An 11,613-nucleotide genomic window follows, 5' to 3' on the forward strand; every position below is an offset into this window, starting at 1 on the left:
TTCTTAGACTTTCAGCCATCCCCTGACCTTCCCGTTGGACTGGGACACCCTCCCTGGACACACCAAGAAGTCCACATTTGGCCAACCTGGCTGACAGTGAAGCTGTGGGGAGCTTTGCAAACCCCCATAAACATATGCAATTAAGCCCCTAAAAGCTCTTAGGCTTATTGCCCAGTAAACTCACAATGAATAGCAACCTTAATAAATGTTATAAATCTCACCTCAGAGCCAACAGGAAATTCAAACTTTTGCATGCGTGGGAGCCAAAGTGCTGCTGAAACAAAAGGGAGGTGTGTGGACAAGGAGAACATTGTACTCCATCCTCCTTTCCCCTGGCAGCACCAGAGCGCCCCAGGCCTGGGAAAGGCCCTTAATTGTATTTTGTGAGGCAGTTCTCTGGCCACCTCACTCCTCCCTTCCTTCACCTGCCTTAACTCTTTCCTGTCCCAGTGGCCCAAGAGCCAATCCACACATACACATCTCCTACTGACTGAAATAAGTGATGGAAATATTTGATGGGGCCAAATCATGGACAAGGTGCTTTCTTTATATCAATGTTTTAGTCTGAAACAATTTTAGAAACTTAATTAAAGCCTAAAATTGAAATTTAAACTCAGTGCCATAAAAAAGGGAAAGGAGTATCAAAGAAGAGAAACCACTGGATATTTTGATCCACACCCTGACAAAAGGGTGTTAGTTTTAATAAACAGTCACAATTTGGGGCTGTTATGAACCATAAGGCACACTCCTGGCCATGTTTCCAATTTCCTCTCCTGCCTTTACTGCCGTTATATTAAGGTCTGTGGTGAGGTAAAATGTTTATTAAAAAAGGTGAGGAGAGCAATATTCCAGATTAGATTATTTTACCTGTTCTAACTATTTGCCAGCCAGTCAGAGATCTTCACCATAGGTTTAAGAGAGGCAGCCCTCCAACCTCTGGGGTTGAGGGAGGGTGAGTCTGTGGTTACAAAGTGAATGTAGATTAGGCCATTTTAATTACTGACTGTAACTGAAAATGGCATACATTTTCCATCACAGAGGGGCAAATACGTGCATCTAGAGCCGCCTCCATGATGGAGTTAATTACACTGGGATTGAAAAACGTCTCAGGAGCAATGAGCAATGAGGATTGGGTGATAGAACAGTCTTCAGAGAAGGAGCCCTTCATTTCATGAAGGGTTAAAATGGGGGAGTCTTTGAGGTGGCTTCACATGGAAATAATTTTTTTTTTTCTTCAAAGGCCCAATTCATATAGAACCCTTTGAAAATAAAATACAGAAAAATGCTCATCATGTTGGAAATTACCTAGAACACAGCACATTCTTCACAGCAAAATCCCATTAATGCAACGTATTTCTTTGATTCTCTGGGGGCTTTCTTTAAGACAATAGGCTTCCTTACAGTGAGTCCTCAGGGACTTCCAAATCCTTTGTTTCTGAATTTCTCTAAATGTGGGAGTTGCTGAAAAGTACTTTTATATATTGAATGAATTGTCTTTATTCCCCAACCTTAACCTTGTTCCCTTATACACTTTCTTTTCCTTCTTTCATGTTGGTAGATATATGATGCCTCTATTCCAAGCCAATATGATAAGTGGGCTTTTGTTAAAGAGTGTTATCAAGGTTTAGGATTTGCTACTTGACCTATGGGGTAGCCAGCTCTGTGTAATAATAAGCTGTATTATAACAGCTCTATAGAATTTATTTCAGAAACATAGGCTTTTATATACTTAACACAAGTACTGTATTGAATTATCCCACATTCAGATACACAGGGCTTCCTTACGCGAACATACCCTAGGCCAGGGTCCCAGTAGAAATATAATGCACATCACAAATGCAAACCACATCAAGTAATTTTAAGTTTTCTAGTGGCCATATTAAAAAACATAAAAAGACACAGGTGAAATTAATTTTAATATGTGCTGTAACCCAACACACCAAAATATTTAACATATAGATATCACAAAAATTTACTGAGATTTTTTTTTTATTTTTTGTCATATAAAGTCTTTGAAGTCGTTTTGTATTTTAAACTTCCAGCACATCTTAATTTGGACCAGCCACACTTCGAATGCTCACTGGTCACTGTGGTTACCAAGTTAAGCAGTGTAGCCTGAAACTCTCAAAATCTCTAATTCTTCAGGGAGTTGAGCTGACTCCATCATTCCCTTTATTAGCTTGGGTGTATCTGTATCTCAGCACTACCATTTTCCTATCCACTGCATCTGCTTTGGAACCTCGCATGTCCTATATGATCTGAGTAAACCCAGGTGTCTATCTTGTAACAACAGACCCTTGTGGTTTCCAGTGAGAGGAACCTGATACTTTCCAGTGTTTACTCCGAGCACATAAAGTCCTCATCTTTTAGGATGCCTGTTTTCTTCATGTGTGTTCACAGAAGTGCCAATCCACACATGGAAATTACCACAGAGAAGAGGGGCTCCTACCACAGGAGACAAAAAGAACCATCCACATTCTGTAATTGGGGTTCTGATTAAGGCACGGCACCCGTTTCCACCTCCACTCATCTCTATCTTATTCCTTCAGGGCAGTTTGGGCTTGCGGAGACTCCCCTAGTCTTCTGCAACATGTTCAGTCTGACAGGCTGTCACCATAAGTAGGTAATTCAACACTGTCTTCACCTTGAGATAATCAAGAACTCTGGGGGTAGCTTTTAAGTACAAACTTTAAAATGTATATTAAGTTCCAAAAACATATGTTTCTTCCTTTCAGTCACCCTGCCCCACCCCAAAAAAGCATTACAAATATTTCCGTAATTGTTTCCCTAGAAAAGACTTTTCATAGACCACTAATGTGATCTTTAAAATCTCTATCAGTATAAAGAAATATGTTTTCCCACTTTTATAGGGTTAAAGTGCTGGAAAGTTTTAGAGAATGAACAATGAGGTGGAGGGACAGTAAGCAAATGGACTTTGGGGCAGCTCATTTCCAAATTTCTGCTCTTAGAAAAATAAAATTCCTAAGGTATTCTATAAAAATATTCTAACCCACGACTAGACTCAAGTTATGCTTATAGCCCTGCTACTTCGGAAGCCTGTTCTTCTAAAGAGGACCTTTTGATATCATATTTCTCAAAATACTCGATCTGCTTAGCAAAGATCTCAGCATATTAGTTGTCTGTGAAAGAAAGTTCATGCGAAAAAAGAGCCAAGAATAACTACAGCAGTGGGTGGAAATTCAGATTTAGTGGGAAAAGTATTCATAGGCTCCTAGATGCCTGTATTGTTTGTCAATTTTATACAGCATTCTATTTTCCTTTCAGTTGTTATACAACTATTGATAATTAGTACTTAAATAATTGGACCCATTTTTGTTATAAAGAAAACATAAAAAATGAAGTTTAATTTTTAGTACATCTTTCCTCCCTCTTAGTTACACATGTCTGGGTACATGCCATTATAACCAGTAGAGCCATTATACAAGATGCCAACACTCACCTGGCAGCAACTACCTAAATACGCAGGCACTGCGCCAACCAGAAAAAGAAAGAAGAGAAAAGAAAAGAAAAAGAAAAGACCTAGCACTACAAACCCGAAGCCATAAAGCCACTGTGGATGCCACAAAGTGCAGCCTCAAACTATCTTGCTGGCCAAGATTTCTGCTGTGTTCTGAGCTGGGTAAATACTGCCAGGCCCAGATAATAGGTCTTTGTTCAGGCACAGACTACAGGGGGTTTCCAGGTGAGTAGAGAACTCATGACTCTGAGACTGCTTGGGTGGCACAGACCTCGTCTTCTCCTCGTTCATCCTGCCTGCTGAGCCATAATGCCTAAGCCATGCAACTGCAAATGTCCTGAGGCACTTTGAAGACAGTGAATTAAATAAGAATTATACTTGTCTGAAGATCATATTATGTTTTCATGTTAAAAAAAAGATCTCACAGTGAAAAAAACCTGGAGGAAATGTAAATGTCTATTACTAAAGGCAAGAAGCCAGTCTGAAAAGGCTACATATTGTATGAATCCAAATATATGGCGCTCTGGAAAAAGTAAAACTACGGAGACAGTAAAAAGATCAGTGACTACTGGGGGTTAGGGGAGGGAGGGATAAATACATAGAGCACAGAGGGTTTTCAGAGCAACTCTGTGTGATACTCCAATAGTGATACCTGCCATTATACATTTATCCACATCTGCAGAATGTACAACAGCAAGAGTGAATCTTAATGTAAACTGTGGACTTTGGGTGGTTATAATGTGTCAATATAGGTTCATCAATCGTAATGAAATACCATTCTGGTGGAGAATGTTGAAAATGAGGGAGGCTAGGCATGTGTGGAGGCAGGAGTGTATGGGAAATCTCTGTACCTTCCTTTCAATTTTGCCATGAACATAAAACTACTCTAAAAAGAATTTTCCTTAAATTGAAAAAAGTATATATCTTATCTATCAACTAAAGGAATTTTACATGCGAAGAAATCAAGGTTTAGAGAGAATAATTGAGTCGTATAAGATCATAAATTTAACCAGTGTCAGAGTTAGTACTACAGTATTGCAGAAATTTGTTGGGAAATGGAAGTAATGGAAGTAAATTGAGGCATACCATGCAAGAAGCAGCTTGTGGCTCTTGTTTTCTTTGGTGAGTTCATGTTATTGTGAAAGCAAACTGCTTCTTGCTGACTATCAAATAGCTAGGTGGCCAGGAATGGTTAAATTTCCTGTCTTTCAATTAAATGGGAAAAATCTGTGCCACAAATATGGTTGTGAATCTTGGTTTTTCTTGTCATATTCAACTTCATGAGCAAAGAGAATGTGTCTCTCTTCTCTCATTCTGTCCCGTCTCCAGCACAGTGCCTGGTACATTACAGAGTCTCAATAAACAGGTTCTGAATGAAAGAATGGATAAATGAATCAATAAGGGAATGAGTCCTTGGAATGAGGTCTCTTTGCAGCAGAGATGTGCCTTTCTTTACATATTCATTCCATTTTTGTAAATGTATTGGCCGGCCTGATTTTGTTAACACACATGATACACTCTTACTTAGTATTGCATCAGCTTTTTACCTACATTTTCAATAGCCAGTCTAAGTCATCAATGATCTAAACCAGACACAGACAACCACAGATGGAGCTCAATTCAGAGGATCTTCTAAAAGTAAAATATTCTTCATGTGGTGGGGAGGACTAATAACCCCTCAGATATCTGATTTGTGAGTGTGGATACATGTATGTGCTTTTATTGTTGTTTGAATTGCTGGAGTCATCTGTTCAAAGGGAAAAGATAGCTACCACCAACAAAGAACAAAAGTGACACCTCTGAAGGCTCTTAGGCCCTCCAGTAGTTGTGACAAGTGATTAAAAGCGGAGCGGGGCTACGCCTCAGGAACTCTTGTTCTCAGCTGCTCCCCTTGAACCCTGGGAGACTTGGTTTGCCATCAATTCTGCACAAAGTGAGGCTGTATTTTTCAATTGAGAGGCAGTCAGGGGGACAGAGACAAACACCTTGGTACGTCAACCTTGAAGTACCACCTGGAGGGCGAGGGCCTTTCACAGTTTAATAGTGGACGGAATGTTATGGTGATAATCTGGGTCAGGTGGTGACTGAAGCAGTCACAGATCCTGAAACAACAGATGTCACAGTGACAGCTGTAATATCCAAGACTTATTTTTCTCCTTCAGCAGCAGAACCAAATAACAGGTAACAGATCTGATCCTACAGAGGAAGCACCACCTTTCCTTTATTAGTTTGCTCACTTTGGCTGTGCAATATTAACTCCTTACACCATGTGTGCTAAATTTCAAGCTGTGCAAAATTTCCTTAAGATACAAAGTGGAACATATGGTGCTAAAGGTAGACCTTTAATAGCTAATTTTTTAAAAAAGTTGCATGTTGGCATTCCTTCCGCCAAATTCTCCTTGGTTCCCACTGAGAAAAATTATCTCCCTTTTAAAAGCCTACTGGCAAATTGGTAGACAACTACTGACAAAGTAGCTCTCTATCAATAGTGTGACGTCCAGAATATCATGATTATAAATATGCCACAGAATTTTTAAATGGCCCAATATATTGGATAGACTATGAGACTATAAATTTCATTGATTTATAAAGTATATAGAGTGGTTTTACAATATTAAACAATAAACAGATAAAACAGTGTCTAGCATAATACCTGACATAGTAGACACTCAATAATATTAAACAAATGAATAGTGTGTGATCCAAGACTGCTTCTGGAGCTTTAGGTGACTGCGTCATTGCTCTTCAGTGTTTATTACTTGCCCCGCCTTTTCTTAAACCTTTAATACCATTCTACCTCTGTCTATATATACCTTGCTAATTAATCCTGTCCTAAATAACATGATACACTGTATTTTTATTTGTTTGTGTTTAAAATATATAGGGTGCAATAAAAGTAAAGTAAATGCCACAAGTTAAAAGAACTCTTAAGGAGTAACAAAAGGAAAAACGTAATTTAAACTCGACTTCCAAATGCCTTCCCTGTCAGAAAAACAGCTTCTTGTTTCTCAACTGGTGTGGAACGGAATAACTGTCCACTGCTGAGTGTCTCTGTGTTCCGGCCAGGGGCTTTGTGTCATCTTTTGGGGCCGATCACAAGCCCCTCTGAAACTTGCTGTCACATTGTCACCTCACCCTCAAATTGCTTGAGTAGCTGTATCACAATAATATAGTTTATATCCTCACCAAATCTCATGTTGAATAATAATCCCAATAATGGAGGTGGGGATCTGGTGGCAAGGGATTAGATCATGGGGGCATAGCCCTCATGAATGGCTTAGCACAATCCCCTTGGTAAGGAGTGAGTTCACACAAGATCTAGTTGTTTAAAAGTATGTGATACCTCCTGCTCTCTCTCTTGCTCCTGCCTTTACTATGTGATGTGGCTGCCTCCACCTCACTATCCACCAGGGAGGCTTCCTGTGGCCTCCCAAGAAGCTGAGCAGATGCCAGTGCCATGCTTGTACAGCCTGCAGAACCATGAGCCAATTAAACCTCTTTCCTTTGTAAATTACACAGTTTCAAATATTTCTTTACAGCAACACAAGAATGGCCCAACACACATGGCATTCTTTTCTTATCACAAGCTTGTCTAGATTAGTAGAGCTCATTCCAGAGGCACTTTCTCTACCAGTCCCAGAAAAATGGGGCTAAAGTTTTGGAATTATGACTCAGGGCTCATGGTCATTCTAGCTTCCCACTGGTGGAAGTGAGGAGATAACTGGTAAAGACATGGCCTCATGTCAATGATCGTTATTCTCATGAATACAAGAGCATTATTCTCATGCTCTATTTGAGCACCTGCTATTTGCTGGGCGCTGGAGACATAAACAAGTGGAAAGCACTGTGTTTCCTTAGGAAACTTAGAAATGTACACTGGCAGATAACTGACAACATAAGGTAGTTCATGAAAAACAGTCCGAATCGATGATACAGACAATAATTGCTGGAGGTGGACATGGATGTCATAGAATGGAGCAATTGAGCACAACATCCAGAAGATACAGGAGAAAAATAAGCAGGTTGAGACCAGAATCCTGAAGGAGAAAAACCATAAAATGCCAAAAAGGTTTAATTTCATTTGAAATCAAAGTAAAAACCCTGAAAGCAAGAGTAAAGATTTTTATATTCATACCTAACCTATTCTAAACCAAGCAGTATGAGGAACCTCACAAGAACAAGTTTGATTGCATGTGATTGACAGGGTAGAAACTTTCAAATAATGTTGGAAAAATTCCTGAACTTCTGGGAGAGTCTCTGACACCAGCCCCTCCTTCCTACCTGTGGGTGGCCCAATCTAATCGTATGAGCGATTAGAACTTGATGTGGCAGGTCACCACCTAGGTGAGTCCTAGAAATATAACCAAACATGTAGTGTTAAGAACAGAGAAGGAGAAGGAAAGAAAAAAAAAAAAACCCAGAGAAATCCTCTGTGGGATGAAACCCAATTTTAAGCCTCTAGAGCATAGAAAAGCCCCACTATTCATTAAGGGAGGTCCCACCAGCTATTTTCTCAGGCAGCTTGTATTCACATTAATGAATGAAAGAGAGAATTTTAATGTGCACCTCTGAGAGAAATAAGACCCCCAAAAAGTTCATTCCCTAGATCCCTCTGGGTTTTTTTTCCCCTTTTCCCTTTTCCAGTGCATAGTAATGAGGTTTCCTGGTTTTGTCAAGGCAAAGCAGGAGAAGTCGGGTTCTGCCTTCACAGACATTCAGCACCAGACAGCTTTCCTTTATCTGTAGCCTATTACTTCTTCCTGTGCTTCTAACTCAGACCCAGCCTCAGGCTCTGTCCCAGGGGGAAGGGGGTCTGGAAACACACACCTCTCTGGCTGGGCTAGGGGGAGCCCAGGCCACTCATGGGAAGATCCTGATCATCCCTTTGGTACAAATCTCCAAACACATCCCAATCTTGTCTCCCAGTGATTGATCCTGGTGTCTTTAACCTTCCTCCCTCCCTCCCTCCCTCCTAATCAAAGAATACTTCTGCCTGACATTGTAAGAAAGGCTTAATAACTGGAGGTCAGTATGTCAATCTTATTTGCCCTGAAATATCCCTGAACTTGTGGAAATTCATATTTGTTTATGTTATAAATGCACTAAATGAGCTAATTATAGTGATCATAACTCACAATTAAAAACAAACACAGTTAGAAATTTCAAAGACTTTCAATATCTTTTCTTTAATCATTCACCCAGGCTCAAAATATGCATTTTTTAGATTAAAGCATTAAAGTTGCTAATTATATTCTCAGAACTAACAATTATTTCTTTACCCTTTTACTACCTTCTTCTGGCAACAAAAAATGTCAGAGCTGATTTAATTTTTTGTTATTATAGGATTAAAAGAAGTTTCTAAAAATGCAATTAAATTCGCCCTATAGCTAGAGTAACTTCCCTATCAGCATCCAAAACCTCTTCCCTAAAACAACAGCATAAAAAATGATTCAGACTTCCTTGACTTTTCTGATACATTCCTTCGGTGATTATCTCCAATAACAACTCAACCATTTTAATGAAACTCCCTGCACATCACGTCCTGGTGAAAGGTAGAACATATTAGATTAATAAAGAAAATGCAAGTTAAATTGGCTGTTGGAGTGTGAAGCCCTGCCCGTGTCATGCATGGGTTCTTCACCTTTGGGAGCCTAGTTCAACTTCAGCCTGAGGCCCTAAGTGAAAAGTTCAGTAGTCTTGAGTACGTCCCCACTTAATATATCACAAAATCAATTATTTTATGGTGGTACACTTGGTAACCTATGCTCAGACAGAATCAAGTTTTGTTCCCACTGGGGATTCATCAATTATCTATTCAGTGAATTATTTTCAGATAAAGCAGAAACACCTGCTGTCAGCAGAGGGAGTATCTGCCTAATATGGGTATCATTCTGAGCCTGACATGTTATTGCATTTGTCACGTGCAGGATGGCACTGTGAGACTTTGGATGGATTTATCACATTACCGAGATGCTTGATGGGACATTGGAGCATGATTCAGTGCCCAAAGTTAGAGCTAAAATGCTGTAGCAAAGAGATCCAAAATGAAGCCACATAAAAATTGGGGAAGGGGGTAATCAAGTGTGCAAATGCTGCAACTCATCTGTCTTGCCTTATTTCCAATAAGTCAGCACAAATAAAAATTGTGATCATTCAGCACAATTTCCTGTTACTGGCTATTGACCTGGGCCAGATTCAAAGTAGGAACCAAAGAAGGGCTCCACGGACTTTGATTCCAAGACTGGAACAAAGGTCAGGCCTGAGACAAGCATAGTTTATGAGGACTACTACCCCTAACCGTTTACCTAGTGGGACTTTGATTCTTTCAGCATCTCTCTTTTCCTTCTCAGAAGTCAGTCAATCTCAAAACACCGATGGCATTTATTTTTCTGTTTTGCAAAATTAACAATATCTGAAACTGAAACAAAAGAACAAACACAACAAGGTATCTCTACAAGCTCACCTGCATTTCAAAATCTCAAAGTTGTAACCCATGAATGCCAGGTCTCATGACAGATCAGTCCAGAAGCATGTGTGGAACATCTAGTACCGCATGCAGAGTACTATTTGGCCTTACAGAAAGAACAGGAAAGGATTAGCAAAGGCTGAGTAACATGATACTGACATATTGATGTGTTCCTTTTATTATTATATTCTTCACTGGAATAATTGCCTATCAAAAGCGCAAAGTGAGAAGCCATGGAGAAAAGTATCATTTCCTGGTCATGAGCAAAGTTTCTTGAATCAGACAGATCTGGATTCAAATGCTAGATCTACCCAATTATTAGCTATGTCATATCAAGCATTTATTAAATTACTTAAGCCTTAGCTCCTTTACTTTCAAAATGAGACTAGTGGCTTATAAGGTTACCATGGGGATTATTAATAATATATATAAAGGTTTTGCATGATACTCATCACATAGTAAATATTCTGAAATTTTTACCTGCTCTTTTGGTAGTGGTGATAACTGTTATTGTATTGTTGCTGTTGTTGTTATGTTACTAATGGAAAAGGGCTGGATGTGTAAATAGTAAATGATGACCTGGGCTGATTCATAAAATTCTTGGTTGAGAGAACTAGTGGAAGAAACTGATAGGGACTAAGTTTGAGGCTGAAAGGAAAGGAGGTAATGGATTTAGAAAAGGCATTAACCTTGCCGCAAAGAATACTAAAGCAGCTCTCAATGATCTTTGCTAATAGAAGGGAGAGGAATAATCTAAAACAAGAGCTGACTCGACAAGCTGGCATTTAAAAAAAATTGAAATCCCATGAAAGACACAGACATATAACCTGTCAGGTTCTGCTCTGCATTCCAGCTTTGTACTTGGTCCTGTTGCTGGCAGGTGCCTGAAACTCGACTGTACCTCTGAGAGAGAACTTCACCTTCCTGGTGATGTAACTGCCACTCTCACAGAGCCCCATGGGCCACACCATGGAAGAGCTTCACTGGGGCTCAACCCGGCATGCATTCCTCAACCACCTTCCACTCCAAGTGCCCTCGCCATTCAGCTCCCAAACTTATTATTTTAAGGCCAGGAAGTCTACTCATCCTAAAGCAAGCCCTGCTTTCAAATTCCTTACCGTATCCTAAAGGTCTAACCTCCATGCAGACAAATGAATTTGCTTTAGCAAACATAGTCACTTTAGATCTGGCCTTTCTTCTGAATCTCTGATTCCAAGCTCCAACCTTTTCCCCCCTGCCCTTCCCCTCCACCGTTACTGTTGCTGTTATTGGCCGATGTTCTCAGCCTTGACTAGCCTCCACTCTAAGGGCAACTAGAAGAGGCCAGTGTTAGTGGGAATTTAAAGTGAAACCTTTAGATAAGCTTCAAGCTGCTTATTCCTTAGCATCAAGGAAAAGTTCAAGCTGCTTCTTCCTTAGAATCAAGGAAAAGTTCAAGCTGCTTATTCCTTAGCATGAAGTTAAGGCAGAGTGCACGTTTGAGAGGAACTTTAGGTAAATATCAGTCCCGCATGCAGTCTTTCCAGATGACCATCACAAATGTTTGCCTGTTCTTTTAACTCAGAACTTAATAGAACAGATAGCTGATTTGTGTGATTTTACAGAAATCTAGTCATTATACAAATAATTTTTCAACAATAATTTATTAATTCATTCCTTCTACAAATAC

Source organism: Homo sapiens, chromosome 1, assembly GCF_000001405.40.
Source record: "Homo sapiens chromosome 1, GRCh38.p14 Primary Assembly".
Lineage (NCBI taxonomy): Eukaryota > Metazoa > Chordata > Mammalia > Primates > Hominidae > Homo > Homo sapiens.